The 23679-nt window shown below is 43.8% G+C and overlaps 2 protein-coding genes and 1 long non-coding RNA gene across 3 annotated transcripts in view, besides 1 other annotated feature; 2 read left to right on the top strand and 1 right to left on the bottom strand.

Annotated features, from left to right (window-relative positions):
- BRAF (B-Raf proto-oncogene, serine/threonine kinase) overlaps positions 1–5468 on the top strand; it is a 211602-nt gene extending 206134 nt beyond the window's left edge. The window contains exon 18 of the mRNA NM_001378474.1: positions 2760–5468. Within this exon, the coding sequence (NP_001365403.1) occupies positions 2760–2768 (9 nt within the window). The 3' untranslated portion in view covers positions 2769–5468. The remainder of the gene's footprint in view (positions 1–2759) is intronic.
- A 6684-nt stretch (positions 5469–12152) lies between these two features.
- NDUFB2 (NADH:ubiquinone oxidoreductase subunit B2) lies at positions 12153–22088 on the bottom strand. The gene is made up of 4 exons (NM_004546.3): positions 21954–22088; positions 15786–15930; positions 13833–13936; positions 12153–12233 (listed from the first exon to the last, which is right to left on the bottom strand). Exons 1-3 carry the CDS (start codon positions 22049–22051, stop codon positions 13862–13864), a joined length of 318 nt encoding a protein of 105 aa, NP_004537.1. The 5' UTR covers positions 22052–22088; the 3' UTR covers positions 12153–12233; positions 13833–13861.
- Positions 21719–23460, top strand: NDUFB2-AS1 (NDUFB2 antisense RNA 1). The gene is made up of 2 exons (NR_024454.1): positions 21719–21881; positions 21976–23460. It is a non-coding gene; the product is annotated as an NDUFB2 antisense RNA 1 (long non-coding RNA).
- Positions 21770–22079: an enhancer, noted in NCBI's record as "active region_26784". NCBI's record gives its function as "activates an Ori minimal core promoter by ATAC-STARR-seq in GM12878 lymphoblastoid cells {active_cell/tissue: GM12878}" and the evidence as "EXISTENCE:reporter gene assay evidence [ECO:0000049][PMID:35858748]".
- Positions 23461–23679: the final 219 nt, after the last annotated feature.

The raw sequence follows: 23679 nt of genomic DNA, 5'->3' as shown, positions 1-23679 counted from the left end.
AAATAAAATTCACTGAAGTCTGAAAAACTCCTAGAGTATCTTCAGACAAAATATATCAAATTACTGGGCAGAGTTTCCAGAAAGGAAGTAAACCGTTTTAAAACTCATCTGCAGCCAGGTGCAGTGGCTCACGCCTGTAATCCCAGCAATTTGGGAGGCCGAGGCGGGTGGATCACCTGAGGTCAGGAGTGGAGACTAGCCTGACCAACATGGTGAAACTGTCTCTACTAAAAAATACAAAAATTAGGCCAGGTGTGGTGGCTCACGCCTGTAATCCCAGCACTTTGGGAGGCCAAGGCAGGCAGATCACCTGAGGTTAGGAGTTCGAGACCAGCCTGACCAACATGGAGAAACCCCCTCTCTCCTAAAAATACAAAATTATCCGGCTGTGGTGGCGCATGCCTGTAATTCCAGCTACTCAGGAGGCTGAGGCAGGAGAATCGCTTGAACCCGGGAGTGAGCCGACCGAGATTGTGCCATTGCACTCCAGCCTGGGCAACAAGAGCAAAACTCCATCTCAGAAAGAAATAAAAAAAAGCTGGGCATGGTGGCCAGCACCTGTAATCCCAGCTACTCGGGAGGCTGAGGCAGGAGAATCGCTTGAACCTGGGAGGCGGAGGTTGCAGTGAGCTGAGATCACGCCATTGCACTCTAGCCTGGGCAACAGAGCGAGACTCTGTCTCAAAAAAAACACTTCACCTGTTTATCCTTATGTCTGAGAATAATATGAAGGAACAGAAAAGCCTAAAAAGGGCTTGTGCCTGAGGAATCTGGTTTCACCCCTCCTCCCAAACAATAAAATGTTATCAAGACTTAAAAGGCTAAGGCAGGAGGATTGCTTGAGCCCAGGAGTTTGAGGCAAGCCAGGGCAATATAGCAAGACACCCACGCTAAAAATAAAAATAAATGTCAAGACTTAATTTCCTATGAACTGCAGTTTTTCTCTTCTGAAAATGGTAATTCTATAATATAAACATCATAGAAATTCATTTTCTAAACCTTCATGTGTGATTACAACAGAGTAGATGTGGCTTTAAGAACATACTATACCATATATGTGAGGTTTTCCTTAAAATTTAGCCCAGAACTATGGACACTTTGGTTATTATAAAGTTGTATTATAAAGAACTCTACCACACTAGCTCTTCTGAAATTTTATCAGGGGCTGTGACACTTGGACCTACTGTCTTTTGAGTTATATAGTTCTCCTAGACTCAAAATGTTAGGGCAAAAAGTGTTCTTAACACTGAGTTGGGCTCAATGGCTCACGCCTAAATCCCAGCACTTTGGGAGGCTAAAGTGGGAGGATCACTTGAAGCCAGGAGTTCCAGACCAGCCTGGCCAAAAAAAAAATTTAATTAGCTGGGCATGGTGTCACGCACCTGTGATCCCAGCTGAGGTCGGGGGAGACTGCTTGAGCCTGGGAGGTCAAGGCTGCAGTGAGCTGTGATTGCACCACTGCACTGCAGCCTGGGCGGCAGAGCAAGACCCTGTTTCAGAGAAAAAAAAAAACTGGTCCAACTCCTCTCCTATCAGTTGCTGAATATGCAGCCCCAAAGGATATGACTCGCTAGGCTTATGTAGCCAGGACCCAAGATCTGTAACATGCATTTTACATAGGTATATATTACAGATATATAATTTTGTCACGATGGCTGTAACGAGATTTGGATAGAAATGGGTATTGACTCCATGACAGTGAGTTCATAGCCAGAAATGGTTGTTGTGTTAGGCATGCTCCACTTGTCCCTACTGTTGTCATCACCAATCTGGGAAGACACTGCTAGTGTAAACAAAAGGCACCTGCTGAGGCAGGTCCACACGCCACCTCAGGGAGCTCCCATTTCCCTGACACTGCACGTTGGTGTTTCCCACCATTGCTCCTGGTGAAATGGTTGCAGCAGGCGACAGGGTCAACCTCTTCTATAAAATAGTTCTAGGGGCAATTGGAACCAAGATGACTTCTGTATCTTCCTATAACATGCATATAACAGCTGTTCTTCTGCAACACCTCTCATCTCAAACTTTATTAGACAACTAATTGTGGTATTTACATTAAGGTTCCCTAGGAAACTAACAAAGTTACAAACGTGTGTGCTAAAATTTAACACTGGACCTCTGTTGCCATTTGAGGCCATACCCTAAAACTTAACTTTGAATGTACTTGTAGCTGCTCATCAGGAAGAGAGGAACAGATACTGTAAATGTGTTTTTTTGCTTTGGCATATTTTTGACGGGAGGGGTGGCACTGCGTCTGCTGGAATATGTTTACAATCTGGTCTATCTGGAAGTTTTTCTATAAAAATCAAACTGGGATCCCAGGGTCACTACACTTAGCTTAGGTCCAATGGTCTAGAAATAACAACTGATTCAATTTAGAGAGTATTTCATTCAGGCCAGGCCTAGTTCTAAGAGCTTTACCTAACTAACTCATTTAACCTTTTTAATCCATTCTACAAATTAGGACATTAAGGTACAGATCAAAGTTATTTGCCCAAACTCATAGCAAGCAAATGGTAGAGCTCCTAGTCAGATCCAGCAAGTCTGACTCCAACAGCCTGAGTTCTGGAAGCATTACACCAGCTTTTCAAATGTCAGATTGAGACAACTTAGTAGGCTGTAAAATCAGTTTAGGAGGTCTCAACTGGCCATTCTTCTTTAGTATGTAGAATAAAATGAAAATAGTGTGCATCATGGTAAATACTGTTTTGTGAACTTTTGGTTTGATATATGTGTACACAAGTATATTTATATGCTAGGTAATATGAAATTCTTAAACTGTGATCAAAAAGGCTGACACCAAGCTGTGTTGACTCAGATCATCTGACTCCGCCTAGAACAAGACAGCAGGATCTGAATCTCAGGTATGAGCTTGGCAAAGCACCTAACCCATCTATAGCTCAACTTCTTCACCTATAAAGTGGAAATAATAATGTGAAGATTTGATAAATTTACACATTAAGTGCTAACAACAGTGCCTGGCCCATAGTAAGTTTTCATTATTATTTCCTGTAACTATATATTGCCATCATCAATCAAATGTTGTACTTAAAATCCTTTTGGGACTCCTCCCACGTTAAGTATTTTCCCATATGCTATACAGCGGGTGGAGGTCCATTCCTTTGAGAAGGCTTGGAACAATTCCCTCCATGGCCCACATGTGGAAAAGAGGATTCCAATATGGCCTCCTTATTCTTTAAACAAAAGAATGCTCTTTTTAAAGTTATCTTTTAAATCAAGCAACTGATTTCTAAGGAATGGGGCTAATGAGATTATCCTGAGTTCACTGTTGTAGATTGTATTCTTTCCAAAAAAACTTTTATTGATATTGGGGAGTGGGCGGTCATGAGGGATGGGGTGGGGGTGAGTGGAAGACAAGGAAAAATGAAACCTAAAAAGTACAAAGAGATCTGATGGTTTTAAAAGTAAAGACCTTAAACATCACTTCATCAGCTCAGGCAGCTCACACACAGGTGAGTAAACACAAAACCGGAGAAGTGTCCCCAGCACCCCTTGCAAGAGGGACAGGACTGCTGAAGCTGTCAGCAGGGGAGGGTGCAACTGTTCCACTTGCTTCAGCTTTTCCTGCCATGGTGCCTGCTCTGTGACATCCAAAGAGAACCAAAGTGGGACTGGAAACCCAGTTACTAGGAAAGCCTATCATACCATACCCCAGCTTAAAGCCTGCCAGAGGCTGCTCGCTGCATTCAACCCAGAATCTAAACCTGTGGCCCTGGTCTGCTTATGAGATCTAGTCCCACCCTCTCCTCACCAGTGGGAGATGCCCTGGACTTTCTGTTCCTTAAACACGGGAGTGACTGTGGTCCCATGCGAGACCTTGATTCCTGCTGTTCCTTACTCCCAGAACACTCTTCACCCTCGCACAACTGGCTCCTCCTACTTGTTCCGCTTTCAGCTCAAATGCCCTCCCTGACCAGTCAAAAGTTCAATTTGCTTTTCTCGCCCATCTCTAGCACCTCACCCAGTGCCATTTCCTCCACAGCACTTAGTAAATCTCACTTGGTTAGTGACTGTCTACCCTTTCTAATAAGTTCTCTGAGAACAGAACCTTATCTTCTTTAGTACCAGATTCTCAACGCCTGAGTGATCAAAAACCTAAGTAGAAAAAAAGGGAGTCCACGCACGGTGGCTCACACCTGTAATCTCAGCACTTTGGGAAGCCAAGGCAGGAAGATCACTTGAGGCCTCGACTTCAAGACCAGCTTGGGCAACACAGACTCTCTGTCAACACACACACACATTAGCCAAGTGTGGTGGCACACACTTGTAGTCCCAGCTACTGGGGAAGCTGAGGCAGATCACTTGGGCCCAGAAGTTAGTTTGAGGCTGCAGTGAGCTAGGATCGCATCACTCCCCTCCAGCCTGGGTGACTAAGACAGACCCTATCTCTACAAAATAGATACATAGATACAGATCTGTGGGTAGAGGAGAATTCTGTCCAGTCTCAGAGAGTTGGAAAGTGCTTTGCAACAAATTTTAGAAAAAGTAAAAACTCCTGCTTCACCCATTCCTCTGGCCCCAAAAACTAGTTAGCAGTATGCCTTGTGGGGAGGAGCCAAGATGGCCGAATAGGAACAGCTCCCGTCTGCAGCTCCCAGCGTGAGCGATGCAGAAGATGGGTGATTTCTGCATTTCCAACTGAGCTTTGAAGAGAGTAGTGGTTCTCCCAGCATGTAGCTTGAGATCTGAGAACGGGCAGACTGCCTCCTCAAGTGGGTCCCTGACCCGAGTAGCCTAACTGGGAGGCACCCCCCAGTACGGGCGGACTGACACCTCACACGGCCGGGTACTCCTCTGAGACAAAACTTTCAGAAGAACGATCAGGCAGCAGCATTTGCGGTTCACCAATATACACTATTCTGCAGCCACCGCTGCTGATACCCAGGCAAACAGGGTCTGGAGTGGACCTCTAGCAAACTCCAACAGACCTGCAGCTGATGGTCCTGTCTGTTAGAAGGAAAACTAACAAACAGAAAGGACATCCACACCAAAAACCCATATGTACGTCACCATCATCAAAGACCAAAGGTAGATAAAACCACAAAGATGGGGAAAAAACAGAGCAGGAAAACTGGAAACTATAAAAATCAGAGCGCCTCTCCTCCTCCAAAGGAATGCAGTTCCTCACCAGCAACGGAAGAAAGCTGGACGGAGAATGACTTTGACAAGTTGAGAGAAGGCTTCAGACAATCAAACTACTCCGAGCTACAGGAGGAAATTCAAATCAATGGCAAAGAAGTTAAAAGCTTTGAAAAAAAATTAGATGAATGGATAACTAGAATAACCAATGCAGAGAAGTCCTTAAAGGACCTGATGGAGCTGAAAACCAAGGCACGAGAGCTACGTGACGAATGCAGAAGCCTCAGTAGCCGATTCGATCAACTAGAAGAAAGGGTATCAGTGATGGAAGATGAAATGAATGAAATGAAGCAAGAAGAGAAGTTTAGAGAAAAAAGAATAAAAAGAAACGAACTAAGCCTCCAAGAAATATGGGATTATGTGAAAAGACCAAATCTACATCTGATTGGTGTACCTGAAAGTGACAGGGAGAATGGAACCAAGTTGGAAAACACTCTGCAGGATATTATCCAGGAGAACTTCCCCAATCTAGCAAGGCAGGCCAACATTCAAATTCAGGAAATACAGAGAACACCTCAAAGATACTCCTCGAGAAGAGCAACTCCAAGACACATAATTGTCAGATTCACCAAAGTTGAAATGAAGGAAAAAATGTTAAGGGCAGCCAGAGAGAAAGGTCGGGTTACCTACAAAGGGAAGCCAATCAGACTAACAGCGGATCTCTCAGCAGAAACTCTACAAGCCAGAAGAGAGTGGGGGCCAATATTCAACATTCTTAAAGAAAACAATTTTCAACCCAGAATTTCATATCCAGCCAAACTAAGCTTCATAAGTGAAGGAGAAATAAAATACTTTACAGACAAGCAAATGCTGAGAGATTTTGTCACCACCAGGCCTGCCCTACAAGAGCTCCTGAAGGAAGCACTAAACATGGAAAGGGACAACCAGTACCAGCCACTGCAAAAACATGCCAAATTGTAAAGACCATCAAGGCTAGGAAGAAACTGCATCAGCTAATGAGTAAAATAACCAGCTAACAGCATAATGACAGGATCAAATTCACACATAACAATATTAACTTTAAATGTAAATGGGCTAAATGCTCCAATTAAAAGACACAGACTGGCAAACTGGATAAAGAGGCAAGACCCATCAGTGTGCTGTATTCAGGAAACCCATCTCACATGCAGAGACACACATAGGCTCAAAATAAAGGGATGGAGGAAGATCTACCAAGCAAATGGAAAACAAAAAAAGGCAGGGGTTGCAATCCTAGTCTCTGATAAAATGGACTTTAAACCAACAAAGATCAAAAGAGACAAAGAAGGCCATTACATAATGGTAAAGGGACCAATTCAACAAGAAGAGCTAACTATCCTAAATATATATGCACCCAATACAGGAGCACCCAGATTCATAAAGCAAGTCCTTAGTGACCTACAAAGAGACTTAGACTCCCACACAATAATAATGGGAGACTTTAACACCCCACTGTCAACATTAGACAGATCAACGAGACAGAAAGTCAACAAGGATACCCAGGAATTGAACTCAGCTCTGCACCAAGCGGACCTAATAGACATCTACAGAACTCTCCACCCCAAATCAACAGAATATACATTCTTTTCAGCACCACACCACACTTACTCCAATATTGACCACATAGTTGGAAGTAAAGCACTCTTCAGCAAATGTAAAAGAACAGAAATTATAACAAACTGTCTCTCAGACCACAGTGCAATCAAACTAGAACTCAGGATTAAGAAACTCACTCAAAACCACTCAACTACATGGCAACTGAACAACCTGCTCCTGAATGACTACTGGGTAAATAATGAAATGAAGGCAGAAATAAAGATGTTCTTTGAAACCAATGAGAACAAAGACACAACAGACCAGAATCTCTGGGACACATTCAAAGCAGTGTGTAGAGGGAAATTTATGGCACTAAATGCCCACAAGAGAAAGCAGGAAAGATCTAAAATGGGCACCCTAACATCACAATTAAAAGAACTAGAAAAGCAAGAGCAAACACATTCAAAAGCTAGCAGAAGGCAAGAAATAACTAAGATCAGAGCAGAACTGAAGGAAATAGAGACACAAAAACCCTTCAAAAAATTAATGAATCCAGGAGCTGGTTTTTAGAAAAGATCAACAAAATTGAGACTGCTAGCAAGACTAATAAAGAAGAAAAGAGAGAAGAATCAAATAGACGCAATAAAAAATGATAAAGGGGATATCACCACCGATCCCACAGAAATACAAACTACCATCAGAGAATACCACAAACACCTCTATGCAAATAAACTAGAAAATCTAGAAGAAATGGATAAATTCCTCGACACATACATCCTCCCAAGACTAAACCAGGAAGAAGTTGAATCTCTGAATAGACCAGTAACAGGCTCTGAAATTGAGGCAATAATCAATAGCTTACCAACCAAAAAGAGTCCAGGGCCATATGGATTCACAGCCGAATTCTACCAGAGGTACAAAGAGGAACTGGTACCATTCCTTCTGAAACTATTCCAATCAATAGAAAAAGAGGGAATCCTCCCTAACTCATTTTATGAGGCCAGCATCATCCTGATACCAAAGCCTGGCAGAGACACAACCCAAAAAGAGAATTTTAGACCAATATCCTTGATGAACATCGATGCAAAAATCCTCAATAAAATACTGGCAAACCGAATCCAGTAGCACATCAAAAAGCTTATCCACCATGATCAAGTGGGCTTCATCCCTGGGATGCAAGGCTGGTTCAACATACGCAAATCAATAAATGTAATCCAGCATATAAACAGAACCAAAGACAAAAACCACATGATTATCTCAATAGATGCAGAAAAGGCCTTTGACAAAATTCAACAACCCTTCATGCTAAAAACTCTCAATAAATTAGGTATTGATGGGACGTATCTCAAAATATTAAGAGCTATCTATGACAAACCCACAGCCAATATCATACTGAATGGGCAAAAACTGGAAGCTTTCCATTTGAAAACTGGCACAAGACAGGGATGCCCTCTCTCACCACTCCTATTCAACATAGTGTTGGAAGTTCTGGCCAGGGCAATCAGGCAGGAGAAGGAAATAAAGGGTATTCAATTAGGAAAAGAGGAAGTCAAATGGTCCCTGTTTGCAGATGACATGATTGTATATCTAGAAAACCCCATCGTCTCAACCCAAAATCTCTTTAAGCTCATAAGCAACTTCAGCAAAGTCTCAGGATACAAAATCAATGTACAAAAATCACAGGCATTCCTATACACCAATAACAGACAAACAGAGAGCCAAATCATGAGTGAACTCCCATTCACAATTGCTTCAAAGAGAATAAAATACCTAGGAATCCAACTTACAAGGGATGTGAAGGACCTCTTCAAGGAGAACTACAAACCACTGCTCAATGAAATAAAAGAGGATACAAACAAATGGAAGAACATTCCATGCTCACGGGCAGGAAGAATCAATATCGTGAAAATGGCCATACTGCCCAAGGTAATTTACAGATTCAGTGCCATCCCCATCAAGCTACCAATGACTTTCTTCACAGAATTGGAAAAAACTAAAGTTCATATGGAACCAAAAAAGAGCCCACATTGCCAAGTCAATCCTAAGCCAAAAGCACAAAGCTGGAGGCATCACACTACCTGACTGCAAACTATACTACAAGGCTACAGTAACCAAAACAGCATGGTACTGGTACCAAAACAGAGATATATACCAATGGAACAGAACAGAGCCCTCAGAAATAATGCCACATATCTACAACTATCTGATCTTTGACAAACCTGAGAAAAACAAGCAATGGGGAAAGGATTCCCTATTTAATAAACAGTGCTGGGAAAACTGGCTAGCCATATGTAGAAATCTGAAACTGGATCCCTTCCTTACACCTTATACAAAAATTAATTCAAGATGGATTAAAGACTTAAATGTTAGACCTAAAACCATAAAAACCCTAGAAGAAAACCTAGGCAATACCATTCAGGACATAGGCATGGGCAAGGACTTCATGTCTAAAACACCAAAAGCAATGGCAACAAAAGCCAAAATTGACAAATGGGATCTAACTAAACTAAAGAGCTTCTGCACAGCAAAAGAAACTACCATCAGAGTGAACAGGCAACCTACAGAATGGGAGGAAATTTTTGTAACCTACTCATCTGACAAAGGGCTAATATCCAGAATCTACAATGAACTCAAACAAATTTACAAGAAAAAAACAAACAACCCCATCAAAAAGTGGGCAAAGGATATGAACATAACACTTCTCAAAAGAAGACATTTATGCAGCCAAAAAACACATGAAAAAATGCTCATCATCACTGGCCATCACAGAAATGCAAATCAAAACCACAATGAGATACCATCTCACACCAGTTAGAATGGCCATCATTAAAAAGTCAGGAAACAACAGGTGCTGGAGAGGATGTGGAGAAATAGGAACACTTTTACACTGTTGGTGGGACTGTAAACTAGTTCAACCATTGTGGAAGTCAGTGTGGCGATTCCTCAGGGATCTAGAACTAGAAATACCATTTGACCCAGCCATCCCATTACTGGGTATATACCCAAAGGATTATAAATCATGCTGCTATAAAGACACATGCATACGTATGTTTACAGCGGCACTATTCACAATAGCAAAGACTTGGAACCAACCTAAATGTCCAACAACAACAGACTGGATTAAGAAAATGTGGCACATATACAGCATGGAATACTATGCAGCCATAAAAAATGATGAGTTCATGTCCTTTGTAGGGACATGGATGAAACTGGAAACCATCATTCTCAGCAAACTATCACAAGGACAAAAAACCAAACACCACATGTTCTCACTCATAGGTGGGAATTGAACAGTGAGAACACATGGACACAGGACGGGGAACGTCATACACTGGGGCCTGTTGTGGGGTGGGGGAAGGGGGGAGGGATAGCATTAGGAGATATACCTAATGTAAATGACGAGTTAATGGGTGCAGCACAGCAACATGGCACATGTATACATATGTAACAAACCTGCACGTTGTGCACATGTACCCTAGAACTTAAAGTATAATAATAATAAAATTTAAAAAAAAAAAAAAGTAGTAGGAAGGATATTTGATAAAGCTTTGTGGTTAACAGTATTTTGAAATATATTTGCAATTTAATGTAATATGTGTCATTGGAGTGGAATTATTAGCATATCAGAGCTTTAAAAAATATGAATAACCCCAGTTACTATATTGAAAAGGTTTCCTTTATAGACAAGAGCAGATAAAGCTGGATTTGCTCATGCATTCAGCAAACATTTGAGTACCTGCTCTGTGTCAGGACTAAAAATAATAGATTTTTCAAGAGGAATAATCACAGAATTTGTCTTACAAGAATGGTGCTCCCATCCCTGGGGAGAAGATTATGAGCAAGGAAATACACTGTGAAAATAAAATATGAAAAGGGCTCAGGAACATTCATAAGACATATATGAAAACTGTAACTTGGAAAGTTGCCACATTAATACTTTTTAAAAGTTTTGCTAATGAATTAGTCCTGATTAAAAAGAAATGATCCTAGTCTCCAAGATAGTAAATATTTTAATACTGCTCAATTAAAAATCCTTTTCTACTATTGTGGACCTGTCCAATTGACATGGTTAGAGTTATCAGGAATTACATTGCAATCTACTCTGTACCACTAAGTCTAACATGTTGTTTGTCATTTTCTAATATTTCATATAATTGACAATAACATTTTCTGTAAATATTTTATTATATAAATTTTATGGTTGAAGTGGCAAAAAATGAAATATTCAAGAAAGCATTTAATGCTTTTTATTTGCCAATTTAAAATATTTTTACACATTAACAAGTGATAATGGTTATGGCACACCATGCCACAGACAATTTGCCAATTATATGACTCAGAAATCATTTAATACCTTAAGAATCAACATTAGTTTCTAAACTAATGTCGGTTGGGAAAATATTGTTTTCCTATACAACTTTCTCTGGTTCCATTTATTAGAGCTTAACTTTTATATAAGAATACTCATAACTGTGTTGCATTTCCACTATTTAGTTTAAATATATGTTTTAGAATATTTATTACTTAAATGATAATTAGAAATGTTATTTGTGAATATTTTTATGTAAAAAATGCTTCTAAACCTATATTAAATATATAAAAACTGTAAGAATATATTGAAACTTAGTCATAAAGGTCAAACTACTTGTCTTCTAATTGTTCATTAAAACTTGAGATAAAAACTAAAAAAAAAAGAAGTATGCCTTAAGAGTTGCACAACGGCCCCTCAACACAACTGCCCAGTCCACAGGAGCTACTTCATAAATCGACTGCACTGACCTCTAACCTCTGTGTACTCAGGGCAAGAATCCAGTGCAGTGGACAAAGGGCAAGAGTTTTCACAGGAAGTGCCGACACACAGCTAAGACACCAGCTGAGGTGGTGGCGGCACAGCCCTGCAGCTAAGGGTGAGCTCTGGAGTCCTCATCTCGCTGCCTACCAGCCTGTGATGCTAAGCAAGTAACTTCATCTCTGTGAACCTTGCAGTCTTCATTGATAAATGGAGCTAATGCCTGTCTATGTCAATGGGGTACCTAAGAGGATCGGCTGAAAGGGCACTAAACCACTAAGCGCGGGAGTTGGAAAAAATAATAATCCATAAAGGGTAGTTGCCTTTATCAGAAAGATCCAGGCCGGGTGAGGTGGCTCACACTTGTAATCCCAGCACTTTGGGAGGCCGAGGCGGGTGAATCACCTGAGGTCAGGAGTTTGACACAGCCTGACCAATATGGTGAAACCCCATCTCTACTAAAAATACAAAAATTAGCCAGGCATGGTGGCAGGCGCCTGTAGTCTCAGCTACTTGGGAGGCTGAGACAGGAGAATTGCTTGAACCCAGGAGGTGGAGGCTGCAGTGAGCCGAGATCACACCACGGAACTCAAGCCTGGGTGACAGAGTGAGATTTGTCCCCCGCCCCCCTCCCACCACCTCTCCACCACCCCACCCCCCCCCAAAAAAAAGATCCACAACTCCATTCTCATTCTTGACCAAGCCACTTTAATTTGTAACTTTAATGTGCAATATGAAGTCGATAATCCTTGAAATTCTCACCTGGCTCCTGCAGGAAAACAAAAGTAGAAAGCTTTAAGTACTTTTATATTCACTAATTCAAATCCATAATTCATTTATTCAATTATTCAAGTATTTATTGAGCACTGATCATGTGACAGCCTTGTAGACAAGAGAAGCAAAATCACCCTTCCTCTCTCAAGGGTTTACAGTCCAGTCATTAAAACAAATTTGTTGGCCAGGTACACTGGCTCACACCTGTAATCCCAACACTTTGGGAAGCCAAGAGGTGGATCACTTGAGTCCAAGAATTTGAGATCAGCCTGGGCAACATGGCAAAACCTCATCTCTACAAAATATACAAAAATTAGCCAAGAGTAGTAGTCCCAGCTACTGAGAAGGCTGAGGCGGGAGAATCACTTGAGCTCAGGAGGTTGGGGTTACAGTGAGCCATGATCACGCTGCACTCCAGTCTGGATGACAGAATGAGACCCTGTCTCAAATAACATAACATAACATAACATAACATAACATAACATAACATAACATAAAACATAACATAACATAACATAACATAACAAACTAAAATAAAATAAAATAAAATAAAATATAAAATAAAAGCATGTTAAATAAAAACATATTAACCCCTAGGGGTTTATGAGGAAAGGGAACCTTCTTAGTACCTCCCTTTTTAAAGAAGAAAAATTCTTGACTTCCTGACCTGGAAAATGAAAAAGCCATAACCCTTTACTGTTTAAAGAGTTAGTTTTCATATAGTTCTATATAGTAATACTCCCATATGCTGGATCTATTTAAATGTTGAGAGCAGGACACTGTAGTTTTGCAGCTACGTACTGTAAGCTCCATCTGTCCTGTTCACCACTGTAGGCCTGTGCTTGGCACAGAATTGGTCTTAATATATCTTTGATCAGTGGATGGATAAATGAAACCCTAAAATTATAACCTAACTTAGGAAAAAAATTTTTTTTTATTATACAATGGGCCAGGTGTGGTGGCACATGCCTGTAATCCCAGCACTTTGGGAGGCAGAGGCAGGAGAATCATTTGAGCCCAGGAGTTCAAGACCAGCCTGGGCAACATAGTGACACCCTGTCTCTACAAAATAAAAAATGTAAATAAAATAAAACATACAATGAAAAGGAAGAAGAGACCAAAGCAAATGTGAAAACTTAAGGCAGAAATCAGATACATGGCCAGGCGTGGTGGCTCACACCTGTAATCCTAGCACTTTGGGAGTCTGAGGTGGGCAGATCACTTGAGGTCAGAAGTTCGAGACCAGCCTGGCCAACGTGGCAAAACTCTGCCTCTACTAAAAATACAAAAATTAGCCAAGTGTGGTAGCATGTGCCTATAATCCCAGCTACTCAGGAGGCTGAGGAAGGAGAATCACTTGAACCTGGAAGGCAGAGGTTGCAGTGAGCCCAGATCACGCCACTGCACTCCAGTCTGGGCGACAGAGCAAGACTCTGTCTCAAAAAAAAAAAAAAAAGCAGATACAGGACATGGTTAACTCAACTTCATGCTGTTAGAATATGCAGTTTTTTCAAGTCCATCATAGGCACAAAGTAAAAACTAATGTTTATGAAAAAAGGTAAATATGACATAAAGAAATTTGGAGCACACCCACTTGTACAGAGTGAGGCTGAGTCTACACCTTCAGTCTTCATCATCAGGAGGGATACCTAATTCTTCATCTGTCCACTGGGAAGGATCAGGATACGGAAAGTGACCCTGGTGACAACCATTTAAAAGAAAGAAAAGTCAAGAATTTACATTCTGTGCAACTAATTAAATTGTTAAATAAATCTTGGAAAGAAAAAAAAAAAAACAATATGGCTCAGCCCCTGACCACAGGAACAAATTCTACTTTAATTATTCGATGGCCCACCTGTTCTTTAGTTTGTTCATTATATGGGCTCTGGTCTGAATTTTAAAAGCCTCCCCATTTGGAGGTACCAGCCTAAGCCAATGGTACGTGTCTGTGATAGAGGGAGGGTAGGGGGAAGTGGAGGCAATAGGTTTCAAAGGTTCCTGACATCCTGGCAAAGTCCTGGCAAAATATGTTTCCAACTCTCCTAACATTACTGCTGTGAAATGGAGAAGCCTCAGGTGGACTTCCTCATCTCCAATCCTGATCTAAGGGCTTATCTGGCTGCATCATCATCATCTCAGGCCTAACAGCTATACATACTGTACATACTCCGGACAGCTGACCTACAGTGAGGCAGGGGCACCTCAAATAGTAAATGTGTGGACAGTTCACAGACACCCAGGCAGCTCCTTACTGAAGGACAACGGCACAGAGAAGTTCTAAGAGAAATGGGATATGAAGCAACCTGATGCTTCTAAAACTTACATACTGCTTAAGATTTTTTTCCTATCCTGGAAACAAACCCAAATTTACTACAACTCAAAGTATCCTGGATAAACAAGCACAGATTTCAATGTCTTAAAGACGTAATTTCCCAAAGAACGGTCTGCAAATGTGGTAAAACCTCAGTTGAGGCTAATGATATGTTAGAAAATCACTAAAACTGGCCGGGCGCAGTGGCTCACGCCTGTAATCCCAGCACTTTGGGAGGCCAAGGCAGGTGGATCATGAGGTCAGGAGATCGAGACCATCCTGGCTAACACGGTGAAACCCCGTCTCTACTAAAAATATAAAAAATTAGCCGGGAGTGGTGGCGGGCACCTGCAGTCCCAGCTACTTGGGAGGCTGAGGCAAGAGAATGGCGTGAACCCAGGAGGCGGAGCTTGCAGTGAGCCAAGATCGCACCACTGCACTCCAGCCTGGGTGACAGAGTGAGACTCCATCTCAAAAATAAATAAATAAAATAGAAAATCACTAAAACTAACTTCCCTTCTCAAGACAAATTAACTCACATCCATCCCACCCAAACCTGGCTGCCCTGGGCCTCTGGACAGACCAGAAGACATTCATCATTTAAAGGAATTTAAGTGTGAAACCTAACCTACCAATGAACCGCTAGTTCAGAAGGTAAAAGAATTCATTTCTGGCCAGGCGCGGTGGCTCACGCCTGTGATCCCAGCACTCTGGGAGGCTGAGTCAGGTGGATCACTTGAGGTCAGGAGTTTGAGAGCAGCCTGACCAACATGGTGAAACCCCGTCTCTACTAACAACAAAAAAAATTAGCCGGCGTGGGGGTGCACACCTGTAGTCCCAGCTACTCAAGGGACTGAGGCACCAGAGTCACTTGAACCCGGGATGCAGAGGTTGCAGCGAGCCGAGATTGTGCCACTGCACTCCTGCCTGGTGACAGAGTGAAACTGTGTCTCAAAAAAAAAAAAAAAAAAAATGAGCTTTTAGTCTCCCTAAGATGGCAACCTAACAGAAACCATAAGAAACGGACCACCTAAATATACATCCTCGTGTAAAAAAAGGTGAGAAGATAACATGTTTCATTAAATAACAGGATTCTTGTATATACATATGGAAAAAGTGGTGGCAAAGGGCGATGTCCAGACAGAAAAATGGTCTACAACAGAAAAATAAACAAGCTATTAATACATCCTCCCTCCCCCACCCAAAAAACGACAAGTGCTCTTCTCCTGCACTTACCAGCACCTCTTCTGAGTCATGCCAAAAGCGCCAGAGAATCCAGAACCACATGAGTCCGCTGAAGAACTCGCTCTGGAACACCTGGGATCTGGTCAGCTGGGGGAACTGTCTATACCGGGGCTCAATGTGCACACCACCACCGGCACTGCAAGACAAAACAACATGGCAGACAGCGTGCTACATTCTCAAAGCGTTAAGTCATCCAAAACTCCTCTGAGTTACATCCTAGAACCAACGCTAATGTTTCTCATCTCCACTGAAATATAGACAGAAGTTCACAATCCCTTGAAATACTCACTTTTTACTAAGCTTGCTTCATGTGTAGCAGCAAAAACTGACCAAAACTGACAAGAGGCTAATTTTGGTTTTCAATTAGTGAAGATTCATTATTTTGCACTAGAAATTTGAATGTGTTGATTCTGGGGTGCTAGCCCCAAAGGTTTTAGTTAAGGGACTGTGAACTTGTTAGCAGGTCACTAACTTACTCAGAAAAATAAATTAATTTTGCTTTGTTTAGCTATCTATTTGAGGCAAATTATGTCCTCTGCCTATTACAATCTTTATTAAAAGACAACCATATGGGAGAGAGGACTCGCAAATCCTATTAAATATGCTAATGGCTCTGAACAAAGAACTTTAAACAGTAAGTTTGAATACGTGTTTCTTTTTTCTTCTTTTCATTCAGACACTTGACAAGTTGTGGCACAGAGTCCATAAGAGTTATAGTCAATTTATTCAGTTGGAGTATAAATATTATACGTTGCATCTAATTTAAATTATTTGCACCTACTGGGGCTATTCCTAAAACCTATTCATCAGCCATATATATGCTAATAAACAGAAGTGGATAAAAAATTTTTAAGAGAATTCCTATATAAAATATGTTTACCAATTTCATCTAGATAAGAATCAGCTTGTAAACCATATTCTCTTTTATGTAGCACAGAAATTCGTACCTGTAGGAAAAGTGCATTAAAATATCTTGTCTTCATAATGCACAGATTCGTGAACAGTAACAGGGCAGTGGTTCTTGATACATGTTAGCTAGGACTGTTTGTTTTCTTTGTTTGTTTGTTTGCGAGAGTCTCACTCTGTCACCCAGGCTGGAGTGCAATGGAACAATCTTGGCTCACTGCAACCTCCGCCTCCTGGGTTCAAGCGATCCTCCTGCCTCAGCCTCCCAAGTAGCTGGGACTACAGGTGTACGCCACCATGCCCAGCTAATTTTTGTTTTTTTTTTAGTAGAGACGGGGTTTCCCCGTGTTGGCCAGACTGGTCTCGAACTCCTGACCTTAGGTGATCCACCCACCTTGGCCTCCCAAAGTGCTGGGATTACAGGCGTGAGCCACGTGCCCGGCTGTTTTGTTTGTTTTTTTAAAGATAGGCTCTGTCGCCCAGGCTAGAGTGCAGTGGCGTGACCTTAGCTCAAGCGATCCTTCTGCTGACTGAGCACCTCCTGGGCTCAAGCAATCCTCCTGCCTCAGCCTCCCTCCCAAGTAGCTGGGATTACATACAAGTGTACACCCCCAGACCTGGCTAATTTTTATATTTTTTTTGTAGAGACAGGGTTTCCCTATGTTGCCAGGCTGGCAGACTGTTTTTATCCTCCCCCACTCTAAAAGATGACTGGTAGTTATTGAGTGTTTACCATGTGCCAGATACCACACTAAGCATTTTATAAGTTTTAATTCATTTAATTTTCATAATGTTATGATAAGGCCTGTAATTATTAATGATTTACCAGTGAGATGCTGTGTGATGGCAAAGCCTAAGCTGTTGCCTACAGACACACACCATTAACAATTTTCTCCTTTTATTAATCAAAGACATAACTTTTAACTAGAATTCCAACCAGCATGATAAAACCAATGTTACCATATTGAAATGATAAATTCCATTTTTTTTTCTAAATAGTCATCCAAAATTTAACACTTTTATTTGGAATGCTCTATTTAAGGTATTAATAACTAATTATGAATAAGGTGATTTTTAGTTTTTGCAGATGTGTGTATATATGTACTTTTTTAAGTATCATGTTTAAAAGGTCCTACCAAATATCGCCACTTTACAACTTGAATGACGTAGCATACTGTTTCCGTAATGTCCTCATATACCAATTATATTATTCATTCAGGATCTAGCTGTGCATATAGATATTACATTATGTAAATAAACCATGCAGGATCATTCAATATAGTATAACAAGAGCTTTTTTTTTTTTTTGAGACGGAGTCGCACTCTGTCACCCAGGCTGGAGTGCAGTGACACAATCTTGGCTCACTGCAACCTCTGCCTCCCAGTTCGAGCAATTCTCCTGCCTCAGCCTCCCGAGTAGCTGGGATTACAGGCATGTGCCACCATGCCCGGCTAATTTTTGTATTTTTAGTAGATACAGGGATTCGTTATGTTGGCCAGGCTGGTCTCGAACTCCTGACCTCAGGTGATCCGCCTGCCCTGACCTCCCAAAGTGCTGGGATTATAGGCGTGAGCCACACTGTGCCCGGCCAAGAGCCTTCTTCTTTGATAGCTTTTTGATACAATCTAGGTATAAGTGCCCAGCAGTAAAACTGATTAAAACAAGATTTGAAGGCCGGACACGGTGGCTTATGCCTGTAATCCCAGCATTTTGGGAGGCCGAGGCAGGCGGATCACCTGAGGTCGGGAGTTCGAGACCACCCTGACCAACGTGGAAAAACCTCGTCTCTACTAAAAATACAAAATTAGCTGGGCATGGTGGTACATGCATGTAATCCCAGCTACTCAGGAGGCTGAAGCAGGAGAATCACTTGAACCTGGGAGACAGAGGATGTGGTGAGCTGAGATCGTGCCATTGCACTCCAGCCTGGGCAACAAGAGCGAAATTCTGTATCAAAAAAACAAAAAAGATCTGAGTAATGCCGATGCCAGCATTATAGTTCAAACCCATCTTAGCAGCTCCCCACGCTTCGTTATTGCTAGAGTGACATGTTGTTTTAATCATAACCTGAAGTAGGGACTGCAAAATGGAAACCTTTTGGAACAAAGATTTGAAAGTCTGCAATTATATCACAGGAACAATGACAAGGATTGCCATGATTAAGGAATGCAAAGACTCAACACCTAATTCACAATGTTATGTTCCAAACCAGGTTGTGAACTGCATTGTGGCAAACTAGATACCCTGAACAACCCTCCAAATTAACAACTCTGCTGCTAGATGAGATTTTTAAGATTTTTACAAACATCACTGACCAGGCACAAAAGGAAGGAATCCACCAAGAGCAAAATTCAAGTAAAAACAAGGCCTGGAAGCTAAGCAATCAATCACTGAAGCTGCCTTCACCGGGAGCCCTTGAACCTCCACCAGGATAGCTACATGAGGTGTGGGGAAAGAGACGCAGCCTGGGGCCCACCCAAGGTGGGAAGGCTAATGACGAGGTCACTGAATAAAGCTGCAACCCCATATGGTAAAAGGGTGAACAAGAAATAAACCTTCCATGGACAAGGGAACAAGAATTTGTTATCAGAAGCCAGTCCTCAGGTAGATTTGCACCCAAATTCACATTACCTGCGTTGGACCTGTGTGGACCAAAAACCCCAAGCCGAGAATTTAATGTGAGCCTGAATTGGGGTGGCACCCTCAAGAGACTAAGAGAAGCACGATCTCAAAGAAATTCCAGGGAAAACAAGCTCAAGATCAAAAAACATAAGGAAGTAAGACACTATCAGCAAGTCCTGTAAGAAGGAAAGAGAATGGGGAAGAAACAACATCCAAGGAAATAATGGCTGTTCCAACTTCAAATGTTTGAGAGTCAAGTTTAAAAACAAAAATGCACCATAACTCTATTAGTTACATTTTTATTTTTATTTTTTTGAGACGGGGTCTCACTCTGTCACCCAGGCTGGAATGCAGTGGCACGATCTCGGCTCACTGCAACCTCTGCCTCCTGGGCTCAAGCAATTCTCCTGCCTCAGCCTCCCCAGTAGCTGGGATTACAGGCGCACACTACCATGCCCAGCTAATTTTTGTGTTTTTAGTAGAGATGGGGTTTCACCGTGTTGGCCAGGCTGGTCTCGAACTCCTGACCTCAGGTGATCCGCCCGCCTCAGCCTCTCAAAGTGCTGGGATTACAGGTGTGAGCCACCGCGCCTGGACAAAGTTACATTTTTAAAAAATAAATCAGACCACATTACTTTCCTGCTTTAAAACTCCAATGGCTCCCTGTGATTCTTAGAATAAAATTCCGAGTCCTCCAAAGCCCCCTCTAATCCGGCCCCCACACTTGTCCCTGTGACCTGGTCTCTCCCACTCTTCCCCTACGCTCCACTCCAGCCTGGCCTCCTGCCAACCCTGCGGGCTCTGGCCTCTCCACCTGATGCCTCCTCTGCCCTCTTATGTCCACCGGGCTCTTCCCTTGAGGTCTCTGCATGGCTGACTTCTCATCCCTCAGGTCCCGCTTCAAATCACACTCCCAGGCATTCCCACGCCATCCCCAAATACAATATCCCTTCTACTCCCACACCACGCATTCTCCATATTAATCCCCAGCTGTATTCTCTTCATAACCCTTAACAGTACTCAAAAAAGGTCTTTCTTTTCTACTGGTCTCTCCTCTCCAGAATGTACACTTCATTCTCTCTCGTATTCTGCTATATCCTCAGCACCTAGAAAGGAGCAGCCATATAGAAGATGCTCCATAAACATTTATGCACTTAATTATCACACACTCTGAAACAAGTGTGTGTTACGAACAAGCCAGCACCTCAGGGAAGATCGGCATTCCCCCATCTCCTCATGCAGGACCAAGGGCTGTCGCTCATGGCTCTCCATCACTGTCTTTGCCCAAGTCACACAGGGCTTTGCCTTCTGCCCACCCCACACCTGCCCCAGCTCCAGATTCTTCATCCATGTGGGACTTCAGGCAAGTCACTCCTTTCATTTCCTGGGCCTCAGTTCCTTAATAACAACAACAGTTAAAGAATACTTGTACGGTCCTTAGCAGGCACCAGCAATTGTTTTAAACACTTTAGTGAGACCAAGCGCAGTGGCTCGCCTGTATTCCCAACACTTTGGGAGGCCGAGGCTGGAGAATCACTTGAGCCCAGGAGTTAGAGGCTGCAGTGAGCTAGGATCGCGCCACTGCACTCCAGCCTGCCTGACAGAGTTAGACCCCATCTCCTAAAACACACAAACACGCTTTAGATAACAGTAACTCATTTAGTTCCTTGCAAATGGACGCCAAATGGGTGAGGAAACTGAGGCATTAAGAGAATAAGAAACTTTTCCAAGGTCCCACAGCTGGAGTGTGGCAGAGGTGGGATTTGAACCCAGCCACTGTGCGGCCAGAATCCCGCTTGGAATCACGACCCCACACTGCCTCTTGGTAAAGTGTAGCTGATGATCTAAGGGACCTGGAATCATCCATGACTCTTTTCCAGTCCTGCTCTTACGGAATCTCTGCACACCACTAACTCGGCTTCGGCAGCTGCTCCCTACCTCGCACCCGCTCCCTACCTCGCACCCCCAGCCCTCCGCCCTCCGGTCTGCGTCTCGGGCCACCTCGCGGGCGGCTCTGCCTGTCACTCTCCTAAACGCCACGGCTGCCCCAGCGTTGGCTTCCGGCTTTCTGCTCCTCTCACCCGACGGCGCTCTCTCTGGGCGACAGCCTCCACTCCCTGCAGCCAGAGTGATTTTTCAGCATTAAAAAGCGGCCACGTGACGTCTCCGATTAAAGGCTGCCGAACAGACTCTACCCTAAATTCCGCAGCCAGGCACCGGGACCCTGGACCGCGCCCTCCCTAGGCCTCACCGCCGCCGCCCCCCGCCTCGCTCCAGGAGCGTCCACACCCGCCGCGCACGCTGCTTCCTCCGCCTGGACCGCCCGCGCCGGCGCCGACTGGCTCAGCCCGCTCCGCATTCACGCGTGCGTCTCCCGAGGGCAGGCGGCCCCTACTACCATGACGGCCCTGCACACGGTGTCCCATCTGCCCAGCGAAGTCTCTCCCTCTCCCTCCGGCCAGCGGGGTCCCTCTCCTCGAGTCGCGGCTTCAGGAGACACGCGGACTACAGGTCCCAGCATGCCTCGGGACGCGGCCTCTTCAGGCGCCCCAGTCAAGGTGAGAGCGTCCCAGGGACCCGCGCTGTCCGCTACAGGCCGGCGAGGCCCCCATCCCCAGCCCCACACTCACTGACGGACTCCACCATCTCCAGCAGTCCGTGCGCAGCCGCTTCTGAAAAGGCGGCCTCCAACGCGAGCGAAAGACGCCAGCCGAGTCAGAGCGGACATACTCGCTCCCGTCCGCCCCGCGGTCCCCAGCCGCCTCGCCCCTGCCTACTTCGCTTCCCCGGCGCTCCGCCCGCGCCTCCCGTGACGTCACAGAGTCGCTCATCTCCAGGAGTGGGGGAGCCGGCAGCCGCTCCTGACCCAGATTAGCTGTGAGTCCTTCGGCTGCAGGAAACCTCTCTCCCGAGAGCAAAGCCCACGCATAACTTATGGTTGCTGAGCTGCCCCATGCCTTCTGAAACAGCTTGTTGGTTGCCCCTCTGATCCTGTAGGGCTCTCCCCGTGTTCTGCCCCTCCTAAAACTGAGTGGTGTATAATTCTTTTTTTTTTTTTTTTTTCTTTTTGAGACAAGGCCTTGCTCTGTCACCCAGGCTGGAGTGCAGTGACACCATCTCGGCTCACTGCAACCTCTGCCTCCCAGGCTCAAGCGATTCTCCTGCCTCAACTTCCCGAGTAGCTGGGATTACAGGCATTGTGCCAGGCTAAGTTCGTACGCAGCAATAGATAATGCCACAAATGGCTTGATTCGATCCACTGGCTTTAAGGCTGGGTTGGCATAGGCTCAGGGAAGAGACTGCCGTCTTTTTGTCCCTTTCCCGCCTCCACACTGTACCTGATGCGCACTGGCACGAGGGGCTGCGTGACCAGCTGGTGTTCTCCCTCCCAGCCATCTGGAGCCATCCCAACCCCTCTCTGCCTGCTTTGAATGTCCCCTCAAGACCTGGGAAGGAAAAAATAACATCACCTCCTTGAAAAAAACTGCACCAAAGGAATCTCTGTCCACCTAAACCATACTGCTCACTAAAAGACAGGAATGAGGAACTTTATCCTGGAGAAGGAAAGAATGGGAGAAACTAGTCCTGTAGTCAGGGCAGGACTCTCGGAGAGCGCAAGGGCTTGACTCCATTCGCTGCCTGGTGGTCTCTAAGACGAGCAACATAATCTATGAAGGTGCAGGGATAAACTGTGATTTTACCTAAAAAAAAAAAAAAAGAGAAATTAAGCTTTACAAATACCCCCCCTCCAGGCTGACCCCGGGCCCCTCCTAGTCAGCCAGACGGCCACATCAGCTCAGCTCTGAGAAGAAAGCCCGTGGTTGGGCCTGGCAGAGAGGGGCAGGTGGTGGTCACTGCAGGTCTGTCCCTGGGCGCTGCCATGGAGAAGAGGACACACTGGTTATATTAACTCTCTTCATATTCACCAAAATTAATGCCTGCAAGTGGACAGGCGCAGACACTGTGGCAGAGAAACTGTAGTTCCGGACTAGCGGGTGAACCCGGGGCCATGTTAAGGAAGTGGCCAAGCCGTTCTGCTCACGTCCCCGGTATGTCAGCCACTTTCATCAGTTTTGTTTTACCTTGTAATAAAAGTTACCAAGGAGTTAGCAAAATCTATTAAAAATTACCAAGAAGATAATTTGAAGTACAATGAAATTTGCCCTAAGTGTATATTATGCTGGCAGGTAGCACCTGCATGATATTTATACATAAAGAGTGTGTGTGTGTGTGTGTGTGTGTGCACATGCCACAGATCAGTAGGACTTGATGGCATTTTCTAACCTGAATATCAAAGTCTGGGAACTACCAGCAGTACCCATCTGACCAGGGAGTATAGCGGGTCAAGAAATGAGA

This window comes from Homo sapiens, chromosome 7 (genome assembly GCF_000001405.40).
Source record: "Homo sapiens chromosome 7, GRCh38.p14 Primary Assembly".
NCBI lineage: Eukaryota > Metazoa > Chordata > Mammalia > Primates > Hominidae > Homo > Homo sapiens.
This window is presented reverse-complemented; position numbering and strand designations above follow the sequence as displayed.